This window comes from Homo sapiens, chromosome 7 (assembly GCF_000001405.40).
Source record: "Homo sapiens chromosome 7, GRCh38.p14 Primary Assembly".
NCBI lineage: Eukaryota > Metazoa > Chordata > Mammalia > Primates > Hominidae > Homo > Homo sapiens.
The window spans coordinates 151,227,287-151,254,602 of record NC_000007.14 but is presented as its reverse complement, the minus strand read 5'-3'; the positions used below and the strand labels follow the sequence as shown (position 1 = coordinate 151,254,602).

At 56.3% G+C, this 27,316-nt stretch overlaps 2 protein-coding genes, 1 long non-coding RNA gene and 1 other non-coding gene across 17 annotated transcripts in view, besides 17 other annotated features; 1 reads left to right on the top strand and 3 right to left on the bottom strand.

Moving 5' to 3' along the window:
* Positions 1-15,823, top strand: part of SMARCD3 (SWI/SNF related BAF chromatin remodeling complex subunit D3) — a 38,370-nt gene extending 22,547 nt beyond the window's left edge. For 2 of the 7 annotated variants that reach the window (NM_003078.4, NM_001003802.2), the window contains exons 3-14: positions 8,932-9,143; positions 10,902-10,944; positions 11,760-11,882; positions 12,000-12,122; positions 12,371-12,466; positions 12,625-12,726; positions 12,950-13,111; positions 14,081-14,178; positions 14,356-14,491; positions 14,857-14,979; positions 15,106-15,207; positions 15,447-15,823. In NM_003078.4, the coding sequence (NP_003069.2) occupies positions 8,932-9,143; positions 10,902-10,944; positions 11,760-11,882; positions 12,000-12,122; positions 12,371-12,466; positions 12,625-12,726; positions 12,950-13,111; positions 14,081-14,178; positions 14,356-14,491; positions 14,857-14,979; positions 15,106-15,207; positions 15,447-15,500 (1,374 nt within the window). In that variant the 3' untranslated portion in view covers positions 15,501-15,823. Of the gene's footprint in view, positions 1-5,908; positions 6,119-8,931; positions 9,144-10,901; positions 10,945-11,759; positions 11,883-11,999; positions 12,123-12,370; positions 12,467-12,624; positions 12,727-12,949; positions 13,440-14,080; positions 14,179-14,293; positions 14,492-14,856; positions 14,980-15,105; positions 15,208-15,446 lie in introns of those variants that run through there. The other 5 variants (NM_001003801.2, XM_047420758.1, XR_007060146.1 and 2 more) reach the window with 5 other exon arrangements.
* Positions 1,479-2,388: an enhancer, noted in NCBI's record as "H3K4me1 hESC enhancer chr7:150949301-150950210 (GRCh37/hg19 assembly coordinates)". NCBI's record gives its function as "activates a minimal SCP1, AML or CMV promoter by ChIP-STARR-seq in naive H9 embryonic stem cells {active_cell/tissue: H9 hESC(naive)}" and the evidence as "EXISTENCE:reporter gene assay evidence [ECO:0000049][PMID:30033119]".
* Positions 5,249-5,338: a silencer, noted in NCBI's record as "silent region_18809". NCBI's record gives its function as "represses an Ori minimal core promoter by ATAC-STARR-seq in GM12878 lymphoblastoid cells {active_cell/tissue: GM12878}" and the evidence as "EXISTENCE:reporter gene assay evidence [ECO:0000049][PMID:35858748]".
* Positions 7,386-7,680: a silencer, noted in NCBI's record as "tiled region #13648; K562 Repressive DNase matched - State 20:ReprD". NCBI's record gives its function as "represses a minimal TATA promoter and a strong SV40 promoter by Sharpr-MPRA in K562 cells {active_cell/tissue: K562}" and the evidence as "EXISTENCE:reporter gene assay evidence [ECO:0000049][PMID:27701403]".
* Positions 7,668-8,241: an enhancer, noted in NCBI's record as "H3K4me1 hESC enhancer chr7:150943448-150944021 (GRCh37/hg19 assembly coordinates)". NCBI's record gives its function as "activates a minimal SCP1, AML or CMV promoter by ChIP-STARR-seq in naive H9 embryonic stem cells {active_cell/tissue: H9 hESC(naive)}" and the evidence as "EXISTENCE:reporter gene assay evidence [ECO:0000049][PMID:30033119]".
* Positions 8,242-8,816: an enhancer, noted in NCBI's record as "H3K4me1 hESC enhancer chr7:150942873-150943447 (GRCh37/hg19 assembly coordinates)". NCBI's record gives its function as "activates a minimal SCP1, AML or CMV promoter by ChIP-STARR-seq in primed H9 embryonic stem cells {active_cell/tissue: H9 hESC(primed)}" and the evidence as "EXISTENCE:reporter gene assay evidence [ECO:0000049][PMID:30033119]".
* Positions 8,242-8,834: a biological region, named in NCBI's record as "H3K4me1 hESC enhancer GRCh37_chr7:150942873-150943447".
* Positions 8,755-8,834: a silencer, noted in NCBI's record as "silent region_18808". NCBI's record gives its function as "represses an Ori minimal core promoter by ATAC-STARR-seq in GM12878 lymphoblastoid cells {active_cell/tissue: GM12878}" and the evidence as "EXISTENCE:reporter gene assay evidence [ECO:0000049][PMID:35858748]".
* Positions 8,817-9,390: an enhancer, noted in NCBI's record as "H3K4me1 hESC enhancer chr7:150942299-150942872 (GRCh37/hg19 assembly coordinates)". NCBI's record gives its function as "activates a minimal SCP1, AML or CMV promoter by ChIP-STARR-seq in naive and primed H9 embryonic stem cells {active_cell/tissue: H9 hESC(naive and primed)}" and the evidence as "EXISTENCE:reporter gene assay evidence [ECO:0000049][PMID:30033119]".
* Positions 8,855-9,154: a silencer, noted in NCBI's record as "silent region_18807". NCBI's record gives its function as "represses an Ori minimal core promoter by ATAC-STARR-seq in GM12878 lymphoblastoid cells {active_cell/tissue: GM12878}" and the evidence as "EXISTENCE:reporter gene assay evidence [ECO:0000049][PMID:35858748]".
* Positions 9,391-9,965: an enhancer, noted in NCBI's record as "H3K4me1 hESC enhancer chr7:150941724-150942298 (GRCh37/hg19 assembly coordinates)". NCBI's record gives its function as "activates a minimal SCP1, AML or CMV promoter by ChIP-STARR-seq in naive H9 embryonic stem cells {active_cell/tissue: H9 hESC(naive)}" and the evidence as "EXISTENCE:reporter gene assay evidence [ECO:0000049][PMID:30033119]".
* Positions 12,595-13,096: an enhancer, noted in NCBI's record as "H3K4me1 hESC enhancer chr7:150938593-150939094 (GRCh37/hg19 assembly coordinates)". NCBI's record gives its function as "activates a minimal SCP1, AML or CMV promoter by ChIP-STARR-seq in naive H9 embryonic stem cells {active_cell/tissue: H9 hESC(naive)}" and the evidence as "EXISTENCE:reporter gene assay evidence [ECO:0000049][PMID:30033119]".
* On the bottom strand, positions 13,624-14,942 carry LOC124901779 (uncharacterized). Its single transcript, XR_007060596.1, has 2 exons — positions 14,851-14,942; positions 13,624-14,584 (listed from the first exon to the last, which is right to left on the bottom strand). It is a non-coding gene; the product is annotated as an uncharacterized LOC124901779 (long non-coding RNA).
* Positions 13,853-15,052: an enhancer, noted in NCBI's record as "MED14-independent group 3 enhancer chr7:150936637-150937836 (GRCh37/hg19 assembly coordinates)". NCBI's record gives its function as "activates an origin of replication core promoter dependent on BRD2, BRD4, P300/CBP and CDK7 cofactors, and independent of MED14, by STARR-seq in HCT116 cells {active_cell/tissue: HCT116}" and the evidence as "EXISTENCE:reporter gene assay evidence [ECO:0000049][PMID:35650434]".
* On the bottom strand, positions 15,781-22,120 carry CHPF2 (chondroitin polymerizing factor 2). Of its 8 annotated transcripts, none has more exons than NR_171547.1 (5): positions 20,329-22,120; positions 18,991-19,555; positions 18,013-18,195; positions 17,431-17,647; positions 15,781-17,229 (listed from the first exon to the last, which is right to left on the bottom strand). NR_171547.1 is itself a non-coding variant. In NM_001284295.2 (5 exons), exons 1-5 carry the CDS (start codon positions 21,836-21,838, stop codon positions 15,922-15,924), a joined length of 2,295 nt encoding a protein of 764 aa, NP_001271224.1. In that variant the 5' UTR covers positions 21,839-22,120; the 3' UTR covers positions 15,781-15,921. The 8 variants fall into 8 exon arrangements, 5 of the variants coding, with proteins under 5 accessions (NP_001271224.1, NP_061888.1, NP_001376581.1 ...); NM_001284295.2 differs by lacking the exon at positions 17,431-17,647 and having other exon boundaries at positions 20,329-20,517; positions 21,789-22,120; NM_019015.3 differs by lacking the exon at positions 17,431-17,647.
* Positions 16,065-16,182, bottom strand: MIR671 (microRNA 671). The gene has a single exon (NR_030407.1). It is a non-coding gene; the product is annotated as a microRNA 671 (primary transcript).
* Positions 18,752-19,252: an enhancer, noted in NCBI's record as "H3K4me1 hESC enhancer chr7:150932437-150932937 (GRCh37/hg19 assembly coordinates)". NCBI's record gives its function as "activates a minimal SCP1, AML or CMV promoter by ChIP-STARR-seq in naive H9 embryonic stem cells {active_cell/tissue: H9 hESC(naive)}" and the evidence as "EXISTENCE:reporter gene assay evidence [ECO:0000049][PMID:30033119]".
* Positions 20,683-21,248: an enhancer, noted in NCBI's record as "H3K4me1 hESC enhancer chr7:150930441-150931006 (GRCh37/hg19 assembly coordinates)". NCBI's record gives its function as "activates a minimal SCP1, AML or CMV promoter by ChIP-STARR-seq in primed H9 embryonic stem cells {active_cell/tissue: H9 hESC(primed)}" and the evidence as "EXISTENCE:reporter gene assay evidence [ECO:0000049][PMID:30033119]".
* Positions 21,824-22,023: a silencer, noted in NCBI's record as "silent region_18806". NCBI's record gives its function as "represses an Ori minimal core promoter by ATAC-STARR-seq in GM12878 lymphoblastoid cells {active_cell/tissue: GM12878}" and the evidence as "EXISTENCE:reporter gene assay evidence [ECO:0000049][PMID:35858748]".
* Positions 22,204-22,263: an enhancer, noted in NCBI's record as "active region_26855". NCBI's record gives its function as "activates an Ori minimal core promoter by ATAC-STARR-seq in GM12878 lymphoblastoid cells {active_cell/tissue: GM12878}" and the evidence as "EXISTENCE:reporter gene assay evidence [ECO:0000049][PMID:35858748]".
* Positions 27,222-27,301: an enhancer, noted in NCBI's record as "active region_26854". NCBI's record gives its function as "activates an Ori minimal core promoter by ATAC-STARR-seq in GM12878 lymphoblastoid cells {active_cell/tissue: GM12878}" and the evidence as "EXISTENCE:reporter gene assay evidence [ECO:0000049][PMID:35858748]".

Below are 27,316 nucleotides of genomic sequence, written 5' to 3'. Positions count from 1 at the left end.
GCTAGCAGGGTGGCCAAAGGCCTCCCCACACCAGGCAGGGTGGAAGAGGCAGGGCGCTGGCCCAAAGCCCTGGTGAAGCGGGCAGCACTCTGTGCCTTGCCAGCATTTCCAGAGGCAGAGGTTGGAGGGAAGGCAGCAGCACCCTCATGTCACAGATGAGGACAGAGCTCCAGGGAGGAAACGGCATTCCCCGGGCCACATGGCCCGACATGAGCAGATCCCAAGTCGACCAGAAGCCACAAGGCTGCCCCCCAGATCCCTGGCAGCCAACATCTGGATGCAGCCAGCATCTGTAGAGAGATGGGAAGGTAGGTAGGATGTCTCAGACATGCACTGGGTGACTCCCCTGGCACCTCAGGCATTTGGGACACGGCTGGGGCAGGGCAGGAGTGGGGCCTTAGCAGAGCCAGGGGATATTATGGGGATGGGTGGGCTTCCCAGCCCTGGCTGCCTGTTAACCAGGAGGCCAGTGGAGCCAGAGATGGCTCCCACACACCTGGGAGGAGGAGAGGGAAAGACTGGCTACTGTTTGGAGTCTCAACCACCCTATGAGTCCCGAGGCCATGCGATCCCCTTGTGTTTGCCCTGGGTTTCAGCCACATCTAAGCCACTGAATCTGGCCAGATGTGCCAGGTGTTGATCCGGAGGGAGAGGAGAGGAGAGTGAGGATGGTTCTGAGTGACCCATCCCTCCCTCCAGGGCCATACAGCCAGCAGGTCAGGGCACTGCCCAATTCAGGGTCCCTGGACGTGGCCCTATTGCCCGCCAGCAGAGCCACACCCTGGAAGGTGGGAGAGAAGTTATAGCACCCCTCAGGATCCCATGTAAACACCATCCCACAGCCCAGCCCTGTCCGTGCAGAAATGGGGACCAGGCCTGTGTGGCACGTTTTTATGGGGTGTGTGACCTGCTACAAGCGACCACCTCATTAATGGGGAGTAAGAGAAAACCTGCTGTGAATCCAAAATGTGCCTTCCCTGTGGCCAGCGGGATGCTCAGATCCCAGCGCCCAGCCCCGCTCTCCTGCCACCAGCAGTTTATTGTGTTGTGTGTGGTGGGAGGGGTGTCAAGGAGCATCCCATTAGACTGAGGAATCCCACGCAGGCAAAGAGAGGAAGGAGGCCTCATTCATTCCACTAACCTTCGCATGCACCTGCCTGCCACACAGGACCCTGGGGACCCCAAGGTAAGGCCCACCCTGCTGTCTGGATGCTGAAGGTGTAGGGGTGAGGGCTCAGCCAGGTGTGCGTGACAGGGGCAGAGCCACCCAGAGAGAGCTACTCTGAGGGGAGGACGGAGGGAGTGAGTGGGAGGGCCGCGTCCCTGAGGACCCCATAGAGGAGGGGGTGCTGAGCTGGGACCAGGCCTCACTCATGGTGAGCAGCCCCCACTCACTCGGTGCGGGTCTGCTTCCCGGCACAGCTCCGTCGCTCTGCTCCCTCCCTCTGTCCCCCTCCTTCCTCCCAGTCTGCCTTGGTTCCTGCCTCTGTCTTAGGAAATTCTTGGATTTCAGAGCTGGAAGGGCTCTAGGAATGCTCTGACTTAAGCCTCTCCTTTCACTTCTGAGGACACTGAGGGACAGGGAGGTACAGCGACTTGCCCAAGGTCGCACCATTATTTTGGTGTCCTAGTTTTTCTTTGTTTTTTGCTTCTATATATTGCATTTGTCTCTTTCGTGTATGTTTGCAAAAGTGACACAGAAAGACAAAGTCACACAGAGAGACAGCCCCCTTGATAGCAGCAGAGAGTGTCGGGGGTACAGAAACATCCCAACACAAACAGGGAAGCGCACAGCTGCCCTGGCCTGGAAGCAGCATGGGGGCAGCCAGGAGGAGGAGGAGGAAGGTGCCTGATGCCCCTGGCCTGGCTTCGGAGCGTCCCCTCTGCTGACCGTCACCAGAGGCGGGGGTTGAGGTAGTCTCCCCTCCTCCCTCTCTGGAGCTGGGCGTGACCCCAAGGACTAGCCAGAGGTCCCCCGAGGCTGGTGCTTAGCCCGGGCAGGTAGGCTGGATGGCGGAAAGTGGGGCCTGGTTTAGAGATGGCCAGAACACCGAAACCAAGGCTTTGTGGTCCTCACAGCGCCAAGTGGTCTCACTTTCTCCCTCTCTCTTTCTTTCTCTCTCTCCCTCTCCTCTCGCGTTCTCTCGCTCTCTCTCTCTCTCACACACACACACACACACACTCACTCAGGCCGCCCCAGTGAGGGTGATCGTATTCTCCTAAGGAGAGCTTTATTGCTGGGGGTGTAGGGAAAAGGGAATAGAGGAAAGAGCTCTCTCCCAAGCAATCCGTTCTCCCTCCAGTCTCGCTTCCTTTGTTCCTCCCTTCCCTTCCTCCCTATCCCCTCGCCAGCTTCTCTTCTCTCCTTCCAGCCCCTTCTTCCATGTTCCCCGCTCTCCTGCTCCTCCTGCCGCGCCCCCCGAGCGGAGTCCCCGTGGTGGGACCTTCACGGAGGGCAGGAGGGCGGGACTGCGGCTGGGGCCCGGCCTAGGTGGCCATCTTCCCGCAGGGAAGGAGTTAAGTCTCTTCCCCGCATCCCTCCTCCCTCCGCCGCCTCCCCGGCCGCCGCGGAGTCCTGCAGCTGGGCCCCGGGCTGACCTTCACCGGGAGGGAGGCCGCGGCGCGCATGCCCAGGCCGGGGACCGGCGCGGGCGGAGGGAGGGGCGGCGCGGGCCGGGCCGGCCCGAGCCCCCCCAGCTCCCCGGCCGCCGCCCGCTCGCTCGGGCGCGGTGGGGGCGAGGCGGCCGAGCCCGTCCCGCAGGCCGCGGCGCATCTCTCCCTGCGCGGGGAGCGGCGCTTTGCCATTTGGTGCTGGTGGTGCTTCAGCGAGGGAAGGAGCGATGGGGGGACGGCAGGGGGGACTGCGGCGCCGGGCGCCGGGCGGCCGCCCTCGCCCCCGACAGGCGCACGGCCTGCCCCAAGTGCGGCGGGCGCCCTATTGCGCTGGGAGGAATCCACGCTCTTCCCGGGCCTCCTTCCCACCCGCAGGAGCCATCGGCGGCGTGGCACACCGAGCGCCCTTCTGGGGTTAAGCCACTGGGGATCCTGGCCTTTGTGAGGAGGGAGCCCTGGCCCGGGCCCCCACACTGGCGCCGCCCCAGCTTTCTGGTCTGAAGGCTCCTCCTGTCGCCCACCTAAAAGCAGTACGCAAATGTGTCTGGGCCTGCCTTGTGAATGGGGCCCACCACGGGATGTGGAGGTGCTCAAGGTGTGCCTGTGTGTGCAGAGCCATGTGGCTTCCTCGACCTTTTGGTGCTTGTATTGGTGTGCCTGCTGTGTGTGTGTTGGGAGGGTGTGTGTGCAAGGTGTATCTATTGTCTGTGTACACTTAAGGATGTCTCCCAGAGGGGTGGCTCAGGAGAGCGCTTATGTATGGACTTGGGTGAAGCTCACCAGCTCCTCCACAGGGGCTTCACCATAGCCCCTCGTCTAACTACCTCCCGCAACCTCTTCCACCACCAAGACCAAGCCCGGGATCTCCCAGGCCCTGCCTCAAACTTCCCAGCTACCCAAACTGGAGTGCCCAGCATCTCCTCTGCTGTCTTCTTTTCCCAAAAGGTCTCTCCAATAGTTGAGAACACTGAGCTTTAACAAAGCCTAGGGGTGTCTATCTCCAACCCCCAGAACCTCCAAGGCCTGTGGTTTCCCATGCCCCTGCTAGACGCACCCATGGTGGGTGGGGGTGCCCATGGTAACTCACACCATCAGGTAAATGGCAGAGTACCAGCTCCATGCATTGGCTCATTAAGCTTTGCAAGCATCAGGTATCTGGGGTACTGTTGAGTTCCTGTGCCCAGGCATGGAGGAAGAGTGGGAGTTAAAGATCAGTCTCTGACCTTATGGGGACCTTAGCCTCTCTGGGAAAGCAAAGCTAATGTCCTTGAAGCACAGTGCACGTCAGGCCAGTCCAATGCCAATTCATGGTGCTGGGTAGATGGCAATGAGCATTTGGAGAAGAGAAAAATCTTTGCATACAAGTAGGACGAAGGAAGGCTTCCTGGAGGAAGTGGGGCCTGGGCTGGGCTTTAAAGAATAGGTGTGATTTGGACAAGCAGAGGGAAGGCAGAGGGCAGGCAAAGGGCATTCCAGGTAAAAGAATCGGGGGCAGGGGCTAAGAAATGGGAGTGAGCGGGGATTCTGGAGGTTAGCAGGCAGACTGGGCAAGTCACTTCCCCAGGTTCCCAGCAGCATGACCTATGGCAGACAGAGGCAGGCCACCCACCCATCCCCACCGTGTCAGGGCCCAGGCTCTGTGTGTGGGGGTGTGTGGGGGGTAGTCTAGGCTAAAGCCCTGGGAGAGATTTGGTAGCAAGGGGATCTCTAGGTCCCCTTTCAAGCTAGGGGTGGTGGAGGAGCAACCTGGACCAGATGTCCTCCCTGACATTTCAGATTGACAGTGGGCACCTAAATGAACAGTGACAGCCAAGAGCACAACCAGGGCCAGCAGAAATCAGGCTGCAGGCAGAAAGGACCCCCTGGGCAAAGGCATTCTGAAGGGTTTAGGGTCAGTACCCTTCAGTCTTCAGGGCCCAACTTCAAGTAAGTGTTTCAACAAACTCCCCTAGGCACTAGGCTATGGTCCTGCCCTCACCTGGATTCTCACAGTGAGGCCCCAGCAGACCCCCAAACTTGACCCAAGGGCCTTGTTCCAAAGCCCACGGCTCCTCCCCAAGAAGGAGAAAAAAGGGGCGTGGCCTTTGGGGACCTGGGTAGGCCCAGGACTCCCTGCCTGGGTATGTCAGGATTTGCCCCTCCTCCTTCCGGTCCCTCCTCCACTCCAGGGACTGCCAACTCCTTCCACACGCCCCTTCTGGGGCTCCCTTGCCACCCCACGCCACACCCCAGCCTCAAGACCCCTCTCTTTGGGGTCTTGAGGCCGGCCCAATATACCCACTATACCCAGCCCAGCTGCCCCAACTCCTCTGGGTCCCCTAACCCCACTCCACCCCCACCCCAAGGAAACCAAGCCCAGCTTGCCTCGTTCTCTCCACGCACCCACCCGAGCACCCCCCTGGCGCTGCGCCATTCCCCACATTCATTCTCTTCCTGTTCTCATGAGCACAATCCCTGTCCCTCTTTCTGAAATACTTCCCCTATTGCCCTCACTTTCTCACAGAGCGGCAAACAAAGACTCACATACCCAGAAATAGCCTCTCACAGAGCTGAAAGGCACAGGCCATGTCCTGCCACACACGCAGGCGCGCGCGCACGGAGGCTGTCGTGGAGGGAGGCACACATACAGGGCGTCTGTCTGCACGCACATAAGCTGCCACGCCACAAAAGGGCGCGGACACACACGGCGTGTGAGACAAGGGCACACACAGCAGTGGACGCAGGGCCACGCCGCCGCCCGGGCACACCCACCGCCGCCGGCCCCGGGCAGGCGCGAGGCCTCGCGGGCCGGGCTCCCCCGGTTCCTGCCAGCGAATGTTTCCCTGCTCGGCCTGCCAGGTCTCTGGGGAAAGGGCCTCAGAAATGCAGCAGGAGCCGCTGGGGGAAAAGTTGGAACTGACTGTTCCCTGCCTGGCGCGGCCGGCGAATTCCCTGACGGAGAAACTATTTGTGGCGAGAGCCGGTGGCCGGCGACCCCCCGCCGCCTCCCCTGGCGTCCCCTCCCCGCGCCGCCTCCCGCGGGCCTCGGCGGCTTCGGGCTGCAGCACTGCTGCCCAGCGCCCGCGGCCGGGCTGGTCGGCGCGCCTCGCCGCTTATCTGCGCTGTTTGGACAGCGGGCTTGGAAAGGCAGGCGGCCCCGTCCCCGCCGAGTCAACAGGCAGACCCCGGGCCGCCGGACTATTTCTGTCTTATCAGTGCAGGAATGCGGCAGCCGCGGCGGCGGCGGCGGCGGCGGGCGGGCGGCGGCGGCGTGGGCCGTGGGCCGTCAGGGCAGCCCTGAAGGGGCCCCCTCCCCACTCCGCTCGAGTAGAAGTGTGAGAGAGCCCAGCAGGACTCAGAGGGGAGAGTTGGAGGAAAAAAAAAGGCAGAAAAGGGAAAGAAAGAGGAAGAGAGAGAGAGAGTGAGAGGAGCCGCTGAGCCCACCCCGATGGCCGCGGACGAAGTTGCCGGAGGGGCGCGCAAAGCCACGAAAAGCAAACTTTTTGAGTTTCTGGTCCATGGGGTGGTGAGTGGGGGAAAGTTAGCGGGGGAGGGCAAGCGAGCTGGCTCGGGCTGAATGGAGGGCTGATCGGGAGGGGCCGGGAGGGCGCTCCCGCTCTCCCACCCCTCTAGTGGGGGGCGTCATGGCCCACGGCCCGGCCGCGGGACTGTGCTGGCGCCCTGGCACCCGAACACGTCGCCAGGCGGCCGGCCGGGTCTGACGCGAGGCGGGGAAGGGAGGCGTTTGCATGGCTCTTGTCAGGGGCGGGGGTGGGACTTGGGGACTCTACCCCCCAAGTAGGGGGTCCTCGCTGTAGCCGACAGGTTGACTTTCGTTCTTTTCCTTGTGGGCCCAGGTGTTGCCCCTGCCCTGGGGGTGGGGGTGGGGGATGGGGACATGGCAGAGGCTGGGCTGGGCTGTCTGTTCATCCGTTGGGACAGTGTCACTGCTTGTGTCTCCGGAGCAAGGAGCAGGTGACCCTGGAGGCACTGTAGCGGGAAGCTCGCAGGCTGAGCCACCTCTGCATCCCAGCGGGAGGGCTCTGGAGCTTCTGCCTTAGGGTGGGGGAGAGGACCGCTCTAGGGACTTAGCCCAAGTTAGGGGCTCTGAGGGTCTCCTTGGCGGACTCAGCCACCAGAAGCTGATGTCCTTAACTCCTCGAACATGTGAAGGAAGGGGCTGGAGTTGGGGACATGAGGCCTAGAGACCGAAGGGACAGGGGAGCACTGTCCTGCCACAGGCAGGCTGTGAAGGCACGTGGGAGCCCGGGAGGCTGGAGCTGAGTCAGTAGGGCCCGGCTGGGAGGGGTATGGAGGGGTGGGGAATGGGAGAAGCAGGGGCTGCGACTCTTGGGATGGGTGAGGGAGTGGAGGCCCTGTGTAGAGGAAGCTGTCGGGTTTACTATGGCCAAATTTGGTTGTGACCCCAAGGAAGACACCCTCTCAGTAAGGCCAGAGTCCCTAGGATTTTGGCCTTTCATGGGGATGGGGCTGGTGGCGGGCACAGCTCTCTGGGGGCTCTGAAAGCCTCCCTCTCAGGGCCTCTTCAGCAGATGGGCCAGTATCCCTGGCCTTGATAACTGGGGAGAGCAGCTGACAGGAAGAGGGGGACTCCCTGGAGTGGCCTGTCCTCCAGCCCCAGGGACCCCTGGGGGTAACTTCCCAAGGTGTCCATGTCAGCTAGCTGAGTTACCAGTCCTAACCTGGCTGCTGGTGGGAGCCCCTTTAAAAAGGCCCATCTAGTGGGGAGAGGCTGTACACGTGGACTGTTTTTTTAATCTGGTCAACTTACAGCTTCAGTTCTTGAGTGGCTGTGAGCCCCAGTGCCCCACCTAGCTGGTGGCCAGGCCTGGGCTCCATTCTGGGCTGCTACCCTGGAGGCCTGAGTGACAGGGTCAGGTGGGGTGAGGGAAGCAGACACATGGACAGGCAGGTTTCACTGCAGGAGAGATAGGCAGAGACAGCTGCTGACCGAGGGTGGGAGGACATTAGGGTTAGACACAGAGCCTGGAGGACCAGGAGGGAGAGGTAGCAGTTGGAAGGAAAACAGCAAGCCCAAGGGGGCCCCTCCTCATGCCTGGGGGTGAGGTGGGTGGTGTGTCCATGTTAACAGTGCCAGGGTCTGCATCCCCTGCCCTCTGATCTTCTTCCTGCTTTCGTGGTCCCAGTCCCCATCCCACCCCGCTCTTTCTGTTTCACAGCCCCTGAAACTCTCTCTGGCCCTCCCCATCTCCCTTCTGGAGTCTGGACAAGTGGGGTTTGGAACACTTCGCTCGATGCATTTGCATCTCATTTACACCCCATCTGACCACCCAGGGGTAGTGGCAAGGGAGGAGGAGCCGCCTCCTCTCAGTCTCCACAGCCCCCATGAACCCTGACTGCTGACCTCACTGGGGTGGGGATGGGAAGAGGAGGAGGTGGCTGCTGACCTGGGCAGACAGGAAGGGAAATGTGAGTGCAAGTGTCACTGCCCTGACCCACCCCAGGCCCCCCTGGGCAGCCCACCTCTAACGCAGTTCCCCTCCTCCCAATCAGAGAATCCTGGCTGTGTCTGGGGCGCCCCAGCAGGCTGCCCTTGCCTGCCCTGCCTCCAGCCCTCACCCTGGGAGCAAATTATGGGGGCAGCTTGGTCAGCGAAGACCCTGGATGTGGGGACTTGGAGTCAGCCGAGGGGAGTGGGGTTTGGGACCCAAGGGTCAAAAGCAGGGACACAGGGAGCAGAGTGGCTGAGATGAGCTAGTGAGTACCAGGCAGAACCGCCCAAGAAGTGGAGCCTGAGAAGGAGGAGCAGGAGGAGGAGCAGAAGTCGGAGCAGGGAGCCGGGTACCGGACCTCAACCAAGCCGCAGAGAGCAAAGCCCTGGGCCCCCAGGAGGCAGCCCTTCAGGGGCTGCCTGGGCCAGGATGAGCTGTGTGACCTTGGCGAGGTCATTTTTCTCCTTGAGCCACAGTGGCCCCATCCGTCAAGTGGGGATGAAAGGACCTGCTCAGGCTGTCTTGCAGAGGAGCATGTGGATGTGAACATCTTTGAAAGGTTGAAAGGCGCCATTAATATTCATTTTTGCGGTACCTTCCGCAGCCCCGAGGCTCGCAATGCCCTGTGCGGTGCCTGGCTTCAGTTAGCTTCCTGCAGCCAGACGCCAAGCCCCTCCGCCAGAGCCGCGCAGATTCCGGCGCCCCTGCCCCTCCTACCCATCGCTCCCACCCATCGCTCAACGCTCAGGGTCACCAGCCGAGGGTCTGGTGGGGGAGGGGAGACGCCGGCTCACCGCGCCTGGAGCGGGGGGCCCTGGTCTGACCCACGGGCGCCCGTTTCTGCTTCACCCCCGCCCACCCCCAGCGCCCCGGGATGCCGTCTGGAGCCCGGATGCCCCACCAGGGGGCGCCCATGGGCCCCCCGGGCTCCCCGTACATGGGCAGCCCCGCCGTGCGACCCGGCCTGGCCCCCGCGGGCATGGAGCCCGCCCGCAAGCGAGCAGCGCCCCCGCCCGGGCAGAGCCAGGCACAGAGCCAGGGCCAGCCGGTGCCCACCGCCCCCGCGCGGAGCCGCAGGTGAGTGGGAGGCCCGGCGAGGAGGGGGCGTGCAGGGGCGGGCCCTGGGGGACCCGCAGGGACCAGGTAAGCGAGTAGCGGGGATTGGAAGGGGCGAGGAAGAATGATTAGCAGGGAGCGAGGCTTCCCGGGTCGAATGCCCTCTGGGGAGGTAGGCTTAGGGGGCACCGGCCTGATTCTTTTGTGTGCCCACGGTAGAGACAGGCTGCGGCGTCGGCAGCCGGTACCGCTTCCCTGCACGCTCCCCTCACCCTTCTCCTTGTCACCTGCTCAGTCCTTCTCTCCACCCATCAGGTTCTGGGTGATGCTTCAGTCTTTGGGGTGGGGGCGGGGCTTCCAGTGGGACTGAGGGCAGAGGTGTAGGACTGTGTTCCCCAAAGTGTGGTTCTCCGCTGAGCCTTCCTGCCGGCCCCCGGGCTGTTTCAAAGCCACTCCAGATTTTCTCAATGGGACTCTCTGACCATGGGGGTGGAGCTTGGGGATTTGCCCTGTGGGTAGGTGGTCTCTACCCAGTCCTGCTCTTAATTCTTAGGCACTCTGGCCCAGGTCTGCTCTCAAGCCACCAGGGCCAGCCCATTTCCTTGCTTTCCTCCAGCAGCTGGTGGCACCCTCAAAGCCCCTGCTGGCTCCTGGCAACAGCAGTGCCCCTCCGGGTTTCAGTATTTAGCCAAATACACATGCTTTTTTTGCACAACAGATGGGTTTCTATAAAAGGTGTAATATCAATTTTACCTCATTATTATTTTTTACACATCGGGGAAAAAATCACCACTTATAGGAATCCCATGATGAATTCTTTAGTAAAGTGCATCGTCATTTTGTACAGCAAATGGTAATTCCCTGATTTATCTTGTATAAATGGAGAGTTACACATAGATAATCTGTTTAAAACAAACCAGACCTTTAATGAAATCCGCTTGTTAGCCTTAGATTTCTGCATAGGGAGGGGGCAGTGCTTGAGAACACCACACGGGGGCAGTATGGAGCTATTCTCTGGGCTGCGTTTTCATCTCTTGACCCGCCAAGGTTTTTCTGGGGGTTTTTGGGTTAGTTAGAAGCAGCTAGTGGGTCAGAAAGAGCCCACATCCAGCTGCTACTACCCCGGGCCTAGTCAATTTGGCCTCAGCCTGAAGTCACACCCATGCACATTCTGGGCGCCTATGGCTGCAGCATGTCCCTCACCCTGTTGCCAGGTAGTCCCAGGGCATGAGTACCCCCAGCCCATCAGCGTTCTCTTCCAAGCCCAGGGTGGCTGGAAGGGGTGCAAGTCCCGCCAGCTTCACACCGTCACCTCCCGCTCCATGGATAGGAAGGAGTTCGTCTCTCTCCCTCCCTCTGAGCTTAGGCCCCTTTGGACAGGGCACCCCCTGCTTTCCAGAAAAGGTCTTCAGAACCTGGCTTCCCTCTCCTTTGTCCTCCCTCATCCCCACCTTTCCTCAAACACTTCTGCAGCTCGCATCTTTTGGCAGCACCGCCCCCACCAGCCAGTCCCTCCTGTCTAAATTTCTCTGTCCCTGAGGATGTGGCAGGGTAGAAGGGGGCTCCCAGGCCAGAGAATGGATGGGTCACTCCTGTGTCCTGAGAGAGGACAGAGCACCGGTTCCACACACCACCGTCACAGCCCTTGGGCGGGCAGACAAGTGGGCTGTGGGAACCCCAGCCAGGCGGGCGGAGATGTCGGGATAATCTAGCAGGTGGCCTCGTTACGCCCAGATCTGTCGCCATGGTAACCTGGTTTTTTCTTTAAAAAATGTACAGTGCCAAGAGGAGGAAGATGGCTGACAAAATCCTCCCTCAAAGGGTGAGTGCCTTTCACAGCAGCCCCCAGCCCACCCCCCACCCTTTGCTGCTCCGCCCTCCCCTCCCCCCTCAGAAGCAGAGCTTCAGCATCACAGTCACTTTCACTTTTTGTTTAAAAAAGCTCATTAATAAGTGAGGCTCCGCAGGCCAGAGGGAGGGGGTGAGGTGGAGGGAAGCAGCAGAGCCACTGGGGCCAGAACACAGGGGCCTGTCAGGGGGTTTGATCCAAGTGGTACTATAGAGCTGTGGGACCAGGAGGGGGCAAGAGCTAGGGGATCAGAAGCTGCCAGGCAGAATGAAGGGGATAGAAGGTGGCCAGAGATCCTGAGCATCCTAAAGAGACCCAGGTCCAGCTGGGTATGGGGACAGCACAGTTGGGACAGGTGTGGGGGCTGAGCAAGGTGCCAGCAGAGAAGAAAGCACCGCTGTCCAACTGTCTCAGGGATTGAGCCCCTACTAGGCACTTTGCAGGGGCCCAGGGGAAGCCCAGCAGGCATATGATATGGACAATGACAAGATGAGGAGACTAAAGGCTAGTGCTTGCTGAGCTCCACCGTTGCTACCTCCTCCCTGATGATGAAACACAAGGCACTTCCTAAAGGGAGAAGCAATTGTTATCCCTACACAGCAAGGCCCCTACTGCTGGATAATGGCATCCTGGGGAGAGGTCCTGTTCCCACTGTCAAAGCTACATGCCCAAAAGTAGGATGGCTCCCCTGACATCTTTTGTACCCTAGGATTGCACAACATGCATACATTCCATGGTACAACCCTGGACTTGAGCCTCTGACTCCTGCCCTGCTCCTCCTTCTCCAGATTCGGGAGCTGGTCCCCGAGTCCCAGGCTTACATGGACCTCTTGGCATTTGAGAGGAAACTGGATCAAACCATCATGCGGAAGCGGGTGGACATCCAGGAGGCTCTGAAGAGGCCCATGAAGGTGCCTTAGTTCGGGGGTAGGAAGGGGACTCTAGAGTTGTGTGACCAGGATGGGGAAGCAGGGTGGTCGGGGTGGGAGCACACAGCATTCGCCCGGTTCTGCACTCTATTTCTACAGCAAAAGCGGAAGCTGCGACTCTATATCTCCAACACTTTTAACCCTGCGAAGCCTGATGCTGAGGATTCCGACGGCAGCATTGCCTCCTGGGAGCTACGGGTGGAGGGGAAGCTCCTGGATGATGTACGTCCCGGCCCAGGTCTCTCCAGGTGTCCTGGGGTGGGCATGGGCTGCACTGAGAACAGAACAAGGTGTCTGCACTAAGGGCTAGGGAGTCAGCCCAGGCTGGGTGGAGGGGCAGGCCTAGAGACATTCCAAGTGCAGAGGATTTCATCTAAGCCCACTGCCCTGTCGGCTGCCAACTTGGCCTCCTTCTGCTCCTCCCACCTCGTCCCTGTTCTGCCCCCATGGTCCCTGTTGCTCTCCCACAGCCCAGCAAACAGAAGCGGAAGTTCTCTTCTTTCTTCAAGAGTTTGGTCATCGAGCTGGACAAAGATCTTTATGGCCCTGACAACCACCTCGTTGAGGTAAGACCAAGAGCCCCTCCGCCCTTGAATTGCCACCCTCCCACAGGCCAGAATCCCTGAAGAACCAGCACAGATTTGGGTCAGGGACCACCCTAGAGTCCTGGGCCCCACCACTCCAGATGGGCCTTTGGGAGACACAGCTCTTCTCTCCTGGACAGTGGCATCGGACACCCACGACCCAGGAGACGGACGGCTTCCAGGTGAAACGGCCTGGGGACCTGAGTGTGCGCTGCACGCTGCTCCTCATGCTGGACTACCAGGTCTGCACCTGCCATGCTGCCCCGTACACGCCACACAAGGCCCTCAGGGCAGGGCTAGGTCCCAAAGTGGTGCATCTTGAGAGACCTCCTTCCCCTCCCAAACCTATCCTTCCCCAGGGGCATGTTTCCTCAATCAACACATCCCCCTAGTCCTGAATGGCCTGGCCCTGGGCTCCTTCCTTTCTCTCCCTTTGGTCTAACTTTCACAGTCCCCTTTTCCCAGCCTCCCCAGTTCAAACTGGATCCCCGCCTAGCCCGGCTGCTGGGGCTGCACACACAGAGCCGCTCAGCCATTGTCCAGGCCCTGTGGCAGTATGTGAAGACCAACAGGCTGCAGGACTCCCATGACAAGGAATACATCAATGGGGACAAGTATTTCCAGCAGGTAACCTCTCTCCTGAACCCTGGGATCTGGGGAGCAGGCGGAGTTCTCCAGCAGGGGAAGTACCTCTACCAAGGTAACTACCACCCCTCCCTTCTAGATTCCTGAGTAGCAGAAGCAGTACACAGTCATGGTCTTGGAGCCAAGAGACCGACCAGGATTCTAGTTCAGGCCCTACTGTGGATTAGCTCTGTGCTGCAGCCAATCCATGTTAGCCCCCCCAAGTTAGGAAGACCTGGAAACCCTACAAAGCCAACCGCTTTCTGGAATGTAATATTCTTGGCACTTGGAGTTAGGATCCCCAGGTTCTAGTCCTGAGTCTGGACTCTGGGTAAGTGACTCAGCGATTCTGAACCTTGTTTCCTTATCTTTGAAGTGGAGTGACAATACCTGTCCTATCTACTCTCCTGGGCAGTTAGGAAAATCAAATTGCTGCAAAAGTGATTGAGCAAAATTCCACCAAAACAGAGAATATTCTTATTAATGCATTTAAAAATAAATACAGCAGATAAACCTGAGGAGTAAAAATAGCAGTTGATATTTATTGGGCACTTACCATGTGCCAGGCACTGTCCCAAGCACTTTATGTGTATTAGTTCACTGACTTCTCACGGCAGCCCTGGGAGATAGGTATTCTTTTCATCCCCACTCTAGAGATGAAGACACTGAGCCCTGAGGTGTTAACTTGCTCCAGGTTGCATAGTAAGTGGCAGAGGCAGGACTGATACATAAGCAGGCTGACCCAGGGCCCGCACTCTCAACCCCTGCCCCACACTGACCCACCCCCTATCTTGTCAGCCATACCGGTGGCTCCACCACCAGACCAGCCCACCCCAATCCCATCCCCATGCGCACTGAGGAATCAGACTTCCTCTCAGCTTCTTGTGGCCTTTCTAGAACAAAAGGATCTACAACTGCATGATGATCTCTTCAAGAAGAGTGATCTCTCTCTCCCCAATTGTCCTGCTTCAGATTTTTGATTGTCCCCGGCTGAAGTTTTCTGAGATTCCCCAGCGCCTCACAGCCCTGCTATTGCCCCCTGACCCAATTGTCATCAACCATGTCATCAGGTGAGGTGGCCCCAGCTTGCTTCTCAGACCAGGGAATGATCTCGTTCCTGCCTTCCCTGCCCCTCCCTCTCCTCCCACTCCCATCTCTTCTCCCTCCCTGTTGGATCTGCCCCAGCCCCGGGGCCCTGGGGCCGTATGGGGGCATCGTGGACACGAAGGGCTGGACTTCCCTGGCAGCGTGGACCCTTCAGACCAGAAGAAGACGGCGTGCTATGACATTGACGTGGAGGTGGAGGAGCCATTAAAGGGGCAGATGAGCAGCTTCCTCCTATCCACGGCCAACCAGCAGGAGATCAGTGCTCTGGACAGTAAGGTGGGGCCCAAGCCCAGAGCTGGAGTGGGACATTAACCCAGAGATGATAGAGGAGACTTTTCTGAGACCAGGGTGTGGTTGCAGATGAGCAGTCTGGGTTAAATTAAAAAAAAAAAAAAAAAAGAGACCAGACTCTGGGCCAATGGGACACACATGGCCCGTCCATGCTGCTTGGAGCTGAACCTCATTCCAAGTTTAGTTCTGCCCATCCCCTCCTCCCCTGGGACTTCAGAGAAATCAGGGGCTCTGAGGGGTTGTCCTTCACAGAAGAAACCCCCTCTCCCTCCCCTTCCCACCCGCTTCCTTTCCCCTCGTCTCCCACATCACCAAAGCCAGGTGGAAAGCATCTATCTTTCTACCTGCAGATCCATGAGACGATTGAGTCCATAAACCAGCTCAAGATCCAGAGGGACTTCATGCTAAGCTTCTCCAGAGACCCCAAAGGCTATGTCCAAGACCTGCTCCGCTCCCAGAGCCGGGACCTCAAGGTGAAGAGGGAGACTCAGGGAGTACTGGAGTGGAAGACAAGCACAGCGGGAAAGAGAGTAAACGTTGTACTCCAGGGGCAGGTGAGGGGATTCAGGGCTCAGGGCTCACCCCACGCTCCCTCCCAGGTGATGACAGATGTAGCCGGCAACCCTGAAGAGGAGCGCCGGGCTGAGTTCTACCACCAGCCCTGGTCCCAGGAGGCCGTCAGTCGCTACTTCTACTGCAAGGTATGCAGGGACCCTTGCCCTGAGGCTTCCCCATCCTCAACTCCAAGAGAAACCTCCCTGTTCAGCTTGTGGGCAGCCCTCGCAGCTCCCCACAGTAAAGCTTCACCACGCTGCCTCACCATGCAATGGCCCTCCCTGCTCCCAGATGCTCTTTCAGGGCAGGCGGTGTCAGTAGGTGGGATTGTCCTGATCACTCACCAGAACACTGACACCTGCTCCTGTTCTCACTTCCTCTAAAGATCCAGCAGCGCAGGCAGGAGCTGGAGCAGTCGCTGGTTGTGCGCAACACCTAGGAGCCCAAAAATAAGCAGCACGACGGAACTTTCAGCCGTGTCCCGGGCCCCAGCATTTTGCCCCGGGCTCCAGCATCACTCCTCTGCCACCTTGGGGTGTGGGGCTGGATTAAAAGTCATTCATCTGACAGCAGCCGTGTGGTCATTGGAAACTGGGGAGGGGAGGGGGAGAGAAGGGGAAGGGAAGAAGGTGGGGAGGCAGTGGGTCCCTCGGGACGACTCCCCATTCCCTTCCCTTGGATTCTTCTCCTTACTCAATTTTCCCTAGACCTAAAAACAGTTTGGCAGAAGACATGTTTAATAACATTTTCATATTTAAAAAATACAGCAACAATTCTCTATCTGTCCACCATCTTGCCTTGCCCTTCCTGGGGCTGAGGCAGACAAAGGAAAGGTAATGAGGTTAGGGCCCCCAGGCGGGCTAAGTGCTATTGGCCTGCTCCTGCTCAAAGAGAGCCATAGCCAGCTGGGCACGGCCCCCTAGCCCCTCCAGGTTGCTGAGGCGGCAGCGGTGGTAGAGTTCTTCACTGAGCCGTGGGCTGCAGTCTCGCAGGGAGAACTTCTGCACCAGCCCTGGCTCTACGGCCCGAAAGAGGTGGAGCCCTGAGAACCGGAGGAAAACATCCATCACCTCCAGCCCCTCCAGGGCTTCCTCCTCTTCCTGGCCTGCCAGTTCACCTGCCAGCCGGGCTCGGGCCGCCAGGTAGTCAGCGTTGTAGAAGCAGCCCTCCGCAGAAGCCTGCCGGTCAAATCTCCCCCCTATAGGAGCCCCCCGGGAGGGGTCAGCACCAGGAGGGGAGGGGGGGTCAGGGCCAGCCCCCGGGGGCCCTGGGGGTGATCTCTGTGGTGACAGGGCAGGATTGAACTCCTGGAAATGGACTGGAAAGAAGGCCTGCCAGCCAGAGATGGCATTCATGCGACAGCGGTTGAGGACTTCGGGCCCAGGCCTTGTCCACACGGTGGTAAGGAAGAAGAGAGTGTCCACAGGGTGCTTCTTCGAGACCACGTCCATGAGTCGCACCTGGGAAGGGGCCTCTGCTCGCACAGCGAGCCAGGCCAGCCTCGTCCCAGGGTACCGTCGCTCTAACTCCGCTGCTGCAGCCTTCACCCCAAGAAATGGGTCTGGAGCTCCACGGCCACCTTCTCGTGGCCCGTAGACCAGCAACAGGGTGAGCAATGCATGTTCTCGTGGCTCCAGGACATTGGCTGCAAAGGCCTCGAGGAAAGCCGGGGCTGCAGCAGCTTCAGCCACCAGGAGTGGCAGCACCAGCTGCACTCGGGTGGCCTCAGTGACATAGGGCATAGGTAGGATTTCCACCCGGCTCAGTGGCCGCAGCAGGCTGACCCTGCGAGCCAGGGCCCGCCGGTGCCCACGCTGTGTCACACATTCCAACAGCAGGTCCAGGGTGTACTCCATGCCCCGTGCTGGGTCGAAGCGCCGATAGCCGTTGAGCAGTCGCTGCTTCTGGAAGCGCAGGCGGGGCTGATAGCGCCGATTGAGCTGCTCCAGGGCAGTCTCCAACGCATCACCCACGTCCGCCCTGCTAGCCCCCTGTAGTGGGCACTTGGGAGCCCCATCTGCACAGGAGAAGGTGTGCTGCTCTGTGAAGTAGTCCCAGCCCAGCACCTCAAAGCGAGAGTGTGGTGTGAAAGGAGCAGGGAGCCCAACGGGCCAGCTCAGCCCTGCCTCCCCTTCGGGGGTCAGCACGGTCAGGTTCCGGATCTGAGCCTGGGTTGGAGGGAATGCACCTCACATTAGTGCCAGCTCCAGGATCCTACCCAGCTCCAGCTGCCTGGGCTCTGAGATTCAAACAGCTGAGCTCTGTCCTAACTCCATCAACACTTAGTGAGGGGTCCCTTGCTAATCACTGAATCCCTTGTACGTTATTCTTCACCTCTAAAATGCAGATGGAATAGGAATCATACTCACCTTACACAAATGCCATGAGAAGGAGGTGGAAAATGTGCTTTTTGCACAGGTAAAAGTATCTTGAAATAGAAGCTCAACAGCCTTTCTCTCCTACACCCAAAGGACTCACATCCTCTTCATAATCACACCTTTGTTTTCATCTACACTCCACCTCTGCCAAGCCTGACGTTCAACTTGAGAATTCTCCCTTCTACCCTTGGGCTTTCTTGGGACAGTTCTAGAAGTAAAGAAACTTCAGAGTTTTTGCCTCCTCAGTGGACAGGCACTATTGAGGAGGAGCTAAAACTATTCTGTCTGAACACTGTGCGGAGCTTCCTGATCCTCAGAGTCTACTTGCAAACCCCTTTAGCTGCATTCAAGTTGTGCTGGGAGCTTACCTTATGATTGCTTTGGACCCCCAAAGACCTTTGTCCCTGTAGTTGCTTTAAATTTAAGTATGGTCGGCCTCTTCCTGCCCTGCCATTATACAGGGCCTAGCCCAGCCCCACTGCCAGCTGCTCGTTCATTGCACGCCTGGACATCTCAGGCTCTCTCTGACCCTCTGACTGCGGTCCTCTGCCCACCTGCTCCTCTTCAGCTCACCTGCAGTTGTTCTATTTCACTGTAAGCCCGCTCCAACTCCAGAGCGCTGAAGCGTTTGTGGAGCCGGTACATGAGGGTACCTTCGGAGACAGGGTGCACGGCGAAGGCACTCAGGAAAGCCGAGCTCCCTTCCTTCTCAGGGTCCCTATTTTTGGCCAGTTCAAATGAGCGATACTGCTGCCCCTAGAGGGACAATCAGACCAATCAATGACACACACAAGAGCTGCCAGTCCCAAACCGCCCTTAACCATACTCAGTGTTCACATCTGTTAGCACTGCTGCGTTAGAACAGAGGACAGAAGAGGCACCCTTTCCAGCACCTCGCTTAACCCCAGTTCTTTCACTGCCCACATTTTGGAAAGTAGAAAGCAAGTAGGCAACTAAGGACACTCTCGGCTACTCTCAGTGCATTGCTTACAGGCTAGCCCTGCTCTGCAAGGAGCCATCACAGAAATAACATATTAAAAATAATAATAATGATACTTTCTTCCCCCAAAGATTCCCATTGTTCTTCAAGGGAATGAATGACACAAGCCAGAAAATCCTCCCAATACTTTGGTTTGAGAGGATGAGCCACCTCTGGGTTCTTCCACTCTTCTCCAGCACAAGAAACAGGGCAGCTCTCTGGGCTGGAAAAGTGATCACCTCACTTCTCTGGAGACTAGCCATCTCTAAGACATGCCCACACTGCCATAACTGAAGTGTGGATGTCGGGGGAGGTGTGGAGGGCAGGGGGGCAGGGGAGAAGGACTGCTGAGTAGGAGCACCCTTTGGTCTTGCTTAGGGGTTCCTAACAAGATACTACTTTTGATAGCCCCAGGTTCTCAGATTGCCAAAGGTGAGCAACGGAGGGCCCACAGAGCGGCCAGTGGCCAGGAAGGGGGAACAATGGCCTCTAAGGTGCTGCTGGGAGGAAGGCCAATCACTCATCCCCCACTAGCTTATCAGGGACTGGGACTGACTTGAAAGAGCTGTCACCTGGTGCTGTGAGACACAGCCGACGCCCAGAGAGTCAATGAGGCAGCGTCCAAGCCACTCGTCAGGACGGGCACTGAGAATGTCTCCTCGGCAGCCATCCAGATGTGGCCGCAGACGAAGCAGGAGACTCCGTGACAACAGGTAGCCAAAGCCCCCATGACAGTACCGGGCCTGCTCGCCTGCGCCAATGAACTCCTCTGCCCGGCCTAAGTACAGGTCTTGGTTGATGCTGAGGTGGCCAGCAAGGGCTGCCAGGCGGGGGGCCTGCACATATGTGTCATCCTGCATGATGAAGAACCAGTCGTAGTCGGCCCCAAAGTGTGTGTGAAGGTGGCGCAGGGTCTCTGACATGAGCCAGGCGGGCCGCTCATCCCCATGAGACACCACCTGCATCCCTGCTGGAGCCCGGGCCCCCCGCTGCCCAGTGAAGTAGAGTAACCGAGGGAAGTGATGGGCCACCGTACGGTTCACAGCCACGGCCAAAGTGGACAGTGTAGCTCGGGAGGTCAGGACAGCCACCAGCAACCGCTCACGGGAGCCCAGCTCTGTCTGGATGTACCGAGTCCTGTGGAAAGACCAGTGTGCCAGAGGTCAACTCCCTAATCTTTAGGAACCCAGCTTGTTCAGAATATACATCCCCCTCTAGGAGTGAGTTGGGGCTGAGAAGGGAGAAACTTCCTTCCTTGTCAATATTAATTAGGTACTGAACTGAGTATCCACTAAGTAGCTGACACGAATTGATTTGGGAGGGGAGGGAGTCTACCAAGGATAGATTAGGTAGGTTAGATGCAATTCCTCCTCTGTTCAAGAACATCGAACCCTGGCTGGGCACGGTAGCTCACGCCTGTAATCCCAGCACTTTGGGAGGCCGAGGCAGGTGGATCACCTGAGGTCAGGAGTTCAAGACCAGCCTGACCAACATGAAGAAACCTCATGTCTACTAAAAATACAAAATTAGCTGGGCGTGGTGGTGTGCACCTGTAATACCAGCTACTCGCAAGGCTGAGGCAGGAAAATCACTTGAACCTGGGAGGCAGAGATTGCAGTGAGCCAATATCGCACCATTGCACTCCAGCCTGGGCGACGAGAGCAAGACTCCGTCTCAAAACAAAACAAAAACAAACAAAAAACATCGAACCCTAATTTAACACCAATGAATGTGAGACTTTCTAAGACCTGAGAAGGAGGGAAAAAACAGAAAGAAACCATGATGGAAAATAAGCCAGAATTGCTCCAAGTCGCCCGACGCCGATTGCCAATGGAAAGGCAGAGGCAAGGATTTACACCAGCCCAAAACAGGGCCAGTGTCTGGGGACTATGCACACATGTTGCTCTCACCTGAGCACCTTCTTGTAGGGCTTGTTGGGGTCCCTGTAGTAGGGGACAATCCGGGGTTTGAAGTCTTCATCACTTTGGTCTAGCCGAGCTCTGGAATCTGGATTCTGTGGCCCTCCTCGCTCCCCTACAGCCTCGACACAGGGATCTTCTCCCTCCCCCTGGATCCAGGAAACCCGCAGGAGGCTCAGGCTGCACCCCAGAGACAGCCCTAAGATGAGGGGAAGCGCTGGCCGCAGCAGAGCCAACAGGGAGCTCAGTCGCATGGTGGTAGGCCCTGCCAGGTGGGTGCCCCAGGGGCACAGCCTCAAGGATCAATGGATTGATGGGCACCAGGCCAGTAGTAGGCTTTCAGTTTTAACCAGAGAACCTGGGGTCAATGAGGCCAAAGACAGAGCGAGGCCCGCTGGCTTCCAGGACCAGCATCCCCAAGAAGATTGTCCTGTCTTCACAACTCCTTCTGCCTGCTCTTCAACTGTGAAGGTGTCGGAACTAACCCCCAGCCAAAACGGTAATAAATGAAACAATCAATTTCACTCACACTGGGATTATGGTCTGTCTTCCACTAAAAAGAGGAGGAAGTAAAACTCAATACTGCCAAAGCTAACCCAAAAAGGAACACTACACACATCTGCAGACTGGGCCTAAGTCAACAGATGACAGCAAGTGATAAGAGGTAAGGGAAAAGCACACGATCCATCAAAACAACAGCCCCAACCAGAGGAGCCGGAGCCTGCCTCAGTGGGCCTTTCCGGAAGAATGCCTGCCTCTGGCATCGGTCCTCAGGCGGGCTACTGAAGGGGCTGCTGAGCCACTGCGGCAGGCCCGGTGGGCACAAGGGAAGGGGCCAGAGCCTCTTTCTACTCTGCTCCCCGTGTTTGAGAAGACGCAACGGCTACAGGAACCCCTCCTCCCACTCAGGAGCGGTCTGGAGCCACTCGCATGGCACACATAAGTTCTGCCCACCCGAATGAGGTAGATCGGTGACTCAGCACTGACAGCCTCTCAGGAGCGCCATGGCCGATGGAGCCATCTTGCAGGGCATTCTCCTCGGAACCCCAGCTGCTGAGGAGACAGCAGGCGGGGACTGGAACTCTGTGTGCGAGCGATTCGGTGCCTGGTTTTACCAGGGCCCCAGGGGCCAAATGAAGCAAACCAAAAGCAAAGAGAGAGCACAAGCAGCAACTAGAGACAATGCCAGGGTCCTGGGAACGCAAACAGAAGCGCGGCCAGCTTCCGACAGGACCCCTGCCGGGGGCCCACAGCCCCTGCGCTACCTCTCGGCGATCAGAGACCAAGTCTAGCCCTAGAACGAAGACCCGACGCGAGTCTTCGCCGTTCGTCTCAAAACAGAAATAAACTGGCCACGTCACCGGGCTGCTGAGAAGGGGGCTCGGGAGACCAGCTCGGGTCGTTCTGCGAGGCGGGGTCGGAGGTCGCGGCTGGGAGACTGGGGCACAGACCTCGTTCTCAGGCCAGTCGGCGGGAGCGGAGGCCGCGCCAGAGACAGCATCGAGGCCGCGAGCGCAGGACCAGGAGGGACGCCCAAGGCCCTCGGGGAGGAGGCCCGGGTTTCAGGGCCGGGGGCCGGCGGACACCGGATAAAGGACGGCCGGGGTCTCCCGGCGTCCCGGGAGGGGGCGGGGCGGAGGCGTGGGGACCAAGAGCGGCGTCCCGCACGCGCCTGGCAGGGAGCAGGGACGGGGAAGGGGGAACAGACCCCAGTGCCCGCTGAGGCGCCGGCTCCGCCGCTGCAGCCGCTGCCACCTCACAGCCCCTGTCCGCAGCTTCCTCTTCCGCTGCCTGTCAGTCACCCGTCTCTATGGTGACCGCATCCGGCCGCTCGCTCCGCCCGCGCGTTCTCTATGGTCGCTCCCACGGCCTCTCAGCACCGCGCACCTCCTCGGCTGGGATCCGGGCTGCCTGGCCCCAACCGGCCGCCCCCCGATAAGACGCGTTCGCCCCCACATACGCGAATCCAGGCAAATCCAGAGTGGACCAAAGCTGCCCCGTAACTTGGGCTGAACACCATCTGCCCTGGAAAAAGCATACCCCCACCCTCGAGAGCGCTTTTCTCCCAATTGGCTGTGGAATCCCATCAGCCTTTCAGTTGCCTAAGAAATGTTTGTTGTTTGCCAGGCACGTACGTTCATCTAAGGATGCTAAGTTCCGGGCATCTTCGTGAGTGCTGGGTAAACAAGCGGTGGACGAGATGGGCATGGTCCCTGCTCTCAGGGAACTGAAAGTTGAGGGAGACAGGTAATAAACACGCTTGACATAGCAAGAATAAAACAGGTAGAAATCCCAGTCTGATAAGTACCATTGCAGAAAAGCACAGAGTCCTGTGGAAAAACTAAACAAAGTATTAAATTAGACTGGGAATTTGGCAATGCTGAGATCCAAAGGTTCAGGAAAAGTTATCCAGACATGAAGTGGACAGTTTTCCAGGCAAAGAAAAGAGCACCAGAATGTCCTGAGAGAGGAAAGAGATTGGCTTGGAGAAGAACTGGGAAGGCCCAGGGCATCTTTGAGCCTGGTGAGGGGAGAACAGCCCAAGGTAAGGCTGGGGAACAGGGAACAGGTAAAGCATTCAGACCACCACAGTGGTTCCCCAACCAGAATGGCACCCTCCCTAAGGAGCAATTTGGAAATGTTCGGGGCAATTTTGTTGTCAAATGATTGGGGGAGAGGAGCCAAGGAGGCTCCATGTCTTGCACATTGCAAGATGGTATCACACAAGAAAACTGTCCTGATCCCACACAGCTTTCACATGTCCTACTGAATATTCATATAGGTTAAAAAAAAACTGGTTATAATCATCTGATGTGCCTGTGTCTTATATACAAAAAACAAAGTAATCTTGTAGGGGTGTAAAATGTGCTGAATTTTTAAGGAATGTAACCACCATGTTAACAGAAGGAAGATTATACTTTGTTGTGTTCAGGAATTTATTAGGAATTACTCACCATTTTGGAGAACTGGGTCACTGATAGCAGTGTTATTCATAGCGTTCAGTCTGCATTTGTACTGTCACATTCAAGGTGCTCCTATGCATAACTACTAGCATCTGACTAATTATGCTTTCTAGCATACTGAAAAGTATTATCTTATTATAAAGGATTTCCTTTTATTCTTTCTGCTTTGGTTCAGACACTATAATTTTTTTTGAAATTATGTATGTAGTTAGGCTATACTATCTATAAACTTCATTTCACAATAGTAAATGGGGAGTTATAAAAATGTTATTAAAATGGAACATTGGGGCTGGTAAAGTTAAGAACCACTCAAGAATATCTTGTATGTATATCTTATAGATACCATTCTAGGAGTATATAAGATAGAACTCACTGATATTGCCTACCAGCACCTGTTATCCCTGTTTTAGTCTCATCCTTAGACTGCAACTGAATCTGTTCTCATCAGCTGGCACATGATAGGTTGTAAATGACTTGTTGGAAGAGACTGGGAAACAGCAGATACACTTAGCTCAAGGTCAGAAGATTTCTAGACCAGCGCTGTCCAGTAGAAATCTAGTGCAAGCCACAAATGTGAGCCATATATGTTGTTTAAAATTTTTTAGTAACCACATTTTTTAGAGTTAAAAAAGGTAAAATTAATTTTAATATTTTATTGTATTATTAGATATATCCCAATCATTTCAACATGGAGTCAATATGAAAAATTATTGATGAGATACTTTACATTCTTTTTTTATATGGAATATTTGAAGTCTGATGTGTATTTTACACTTAACAGCAAATCTCAATTCAGACTAGCCACATTTCAAGTGCTCCATAGCCACATATGGCCGGAGGCTACCATACTGAACACTGCAGGTCCAGATCCTTTTCAGTTACTAAGTTCCTAGGTAATTCTCCAAGAGACATTTCCTTCCTTGGGTCTCCGTTTCTTCATAATTTAAACAGAGTCTAAGCCAAATATTCTTGTTTCCAGCACTGACCTTCTGTGATTTTTTTCAAATTTAGCCAGTCCCTTTCTCCTCTCTCTTTACTCACCTCCTTTTCTCCCCCATTTTCCCATTTCTCTTTCCCTGTTTCTTCTCCCCTCATCCCGAGTTCTTTTCTCTGGCTAAACCCAGGGCAGGGTGGGCAGGGGGAGGGATGGTGGCTCACACCTGTAATACCAGGATTTCAGAAGGTCGAGGCAGGAGGATCTCTTGAGCCCAGGAGTTTGAGACCAGCCTGGGCAACATAAGAAGACACCATCTCTATGTAAAATTTAAAAACTGTAGCCAGGTGCAGTGGCTCATGCCTGGAATTGTAATCCCAGCACTTTGGGAAGCCAAAGTGGGCAGATCGTTTGAACCCAGGAGTTCCAGACCAGCCTGGGCAACATGGCAAAACCTCATCTCTGAAAAAAAAAAACAAAAATTAGCCAGGCATGGTGGTGCTTGCCTGTAGTCCCAGCTACTTGGGAGGCCAACGTGGGAGGATCGCTTGAGCCCAGGAGGTCGAGGTTGCAGTGAGCCATGATCGTGCCACTGAACTCCAGCCTAGGCAACAGAGCTGCCCAGAGCTGCTTGTCACCGTAGTTTCCTGATCTGCAAAATGGTAATAATCCTCACCTCGGAGTTTGTTGGGGGTGGGGAGTTTAATGTGATGGCATAAATGAAAAAGCATAATAAATATTGTTATCTGTAACCACACATTTTTAAACGAGGCTGGGAAAGGAGAAGCATATTTCTCCCAGGAGGCACAGGCGCTTGAATCTGTTTCTTTGTTGTGTTTTGTTTTTTGAGACAGGGTCTTGCTCTGTTGCCCAGGTAGGAGCGCAGTGGTACGATCTCAGCTTGCTGCAGCCTTGACCTTCTGGGTAACTGGGACCGCAGCGATGCGCTACCACGCCCGGCTAATTTTTGTATTTTTTTTAATAGAGATAGGACTTCGCCATGTTGCCAAGGCTGGTCTTGAACTCCTGAGCTCAAAAGATCCACCTGCCTCCACCTCCCAAAGTGCTGGGAATACAGTCATGAGCCACCACACTCAGCCAAATGAGTGCTTTTTATGTGATCCACAATCATAAATAACTTTTTTTTTTTTTTGAGATGGAGTCTCGCTCTGTTGCCCAGGCTGGAGTGCAGTGGCGTGATCTCGGCTCACTCCAAGTTCCACTTCCCAGGTTCACGACATTCTCCTGCCTCAGCCTCCCGAGTAGCTGGGACTACAGGTGCCCGCCACCATGCCTGGCTAATTTTTTGTATTTTTAGTAGAGACGGGGTTTTACCGTGTTAGCCAGGATGGTCTCGATCTCCTGACCTCGTGATCCGCTGGCCTCGGCCTCCCAAAGTGCTGGGATTACAGGCGTGAGCCACCGTGCCCGGCCCATAAATAACTCTTTTGCTTCATACAGAAGGGTTTTACAGTCATTTAACTGTATTCTTTTTGTAACTATATTCCCATTTTACAGAGGAGAACATGTACTTTGCCCAAGGCCACACAATGAAGCATAGAACTGGGGTTATGCTCTTAATTATGCTATGCCAAGTGAGGTCTCCACCTAGGTACCCCAGCAACACACGAAAGTCACTTCGTTTAGGGCACTTAATTTCATGGTGTCAAGGTCTGTTTTTTTTGTTTTTTGTTTTTTTAGAGACAGGGTCTAGTTTTGTCACCCAGTCTGGAGTGCAGTGGTTTGATTATAGCTCACTGCAGCCTTGAACTCCTGGGCTGAAATGATCCTCCCACTACGGCCTTCCAAAGTGCTTGGATTACAGGTGTGAGCCACCACACCCGGCTTGTTTACTTTTCACATGTTCCTTCTTTATTATGAGCTCCCTGAGGTCAGGGAGTGACTTTGCACCATTGCAACTCCAGCACATATATCTGAGCCTGACAGATAGTAGGCACTTCGTTGGTGGAGGATATTCTAGGAAAATGTATGTTCAAAGGCATGCAGGTGTAAAATAGCACGCTTAATCTCCGAACTATTTAAGTAGGTAAGTTCTACTGAAGTATGAGTTTGAGAAGAAAAACTAATTCTCATTGTTTGAGTCACGGACTGTGGGCGAAAAGGTGCCACATTTGGAGAATATGCTCAAAGGGAGCAATAGCTTCCTTTGCTGCCCCAAACGTCACTGATGGTGAGGCTTCTGCTGCACAGGAGCCTGGAGAAGTAACAAAGATCACAAAGGGCCTGCCTTGTACTTGAGGCTAAACATTTGGAGTTTACAATGTAGGTAATGTGAAGTCCTTGAGAGATTGTATTTATTTTTAAACCATCCAGCCCAAAATGTCATGTGAGAGATTTTAAACAGTGAGACTCAAAGGGAAAGTAACGGGCCCGGTAGCATGGCTAACTAATAATAAAACAAATCTCAGCCAAGGGGCCTTTTTATCTCGGGGCCCTTTCCACCAAACTTGCATGGCTTCAGTGGAAACCTAACAATGCGGCAGCGGGGAGGCTAAGCGGCCGAGGTTCCAAAACAACGTCTGGCACCTTCTAAAAGTTTAACAATGAACCAGCCTCTAAAATTAAGGTTTAATGAAACCAAGGCGCTTTCTTTCGTGAAGGAATTCCGTTGGCAACATCTTTGCAGCGATGCCCCGCTTTCTGGAACCCCTCCCTGCCCAGCGCCCCCTTCATTTTAGTCCTCCCCTCACGCTCCCACCTCTCCTCTCCCATTGTTTCGATCTACTCCCGCTGAGGCAAGCTGGGAAGTGTAGTTGCACGCCCTGCTGCCTGAGTCGGTTAGGTAGCTCTAAAAACTCGTAACTCCACAACAGCTCAATGGATTTTCGAGAGGTGGGGTAAAGCCTGAAGGCTCAGCCGGTTTATCCAACGAGCAATCTGGGATTTGCAGTTTCCAGCGCCCGAAGTGCGCCCGCTAGCAGAGAGCTCTTGGACTCTAATCCCGCCCCCTCCCCGAGCCTCGCGCATCCTGATGGCGTCACGCGGCCCCGCGAGGTCTGTGGGATACATAGTAGTCCTCAAGGCGGGTCTCACTCTTGGCCGCTGCAACTTGAGGACTACA

Bases quoted from the DNA above. Each gene is read 5' to 3' on its own strand.
- CHPF2 (NM_019015.3), bottom strand. From the start codon at position 20,591: ATGCGACTGAGCTCCCTGTTGGCTCTGCTGCGGCCAGCGCTTCCCCTC. The intron at 19,556-20,328 runs GTGAGAGCAACA...GTCTTTCCACAG, and splicing joins CCCTACAAGAAGGTGCTCAG to GACTCGGTACATCCAGACAG. The intron at 18,196-18,990 runs GTGACAGCTCTT...TTGTCCCTCTAG, and splicing joins GCTGTGTCTCACAGCACCAG to GGGCAGCAGTATCGCTCATT.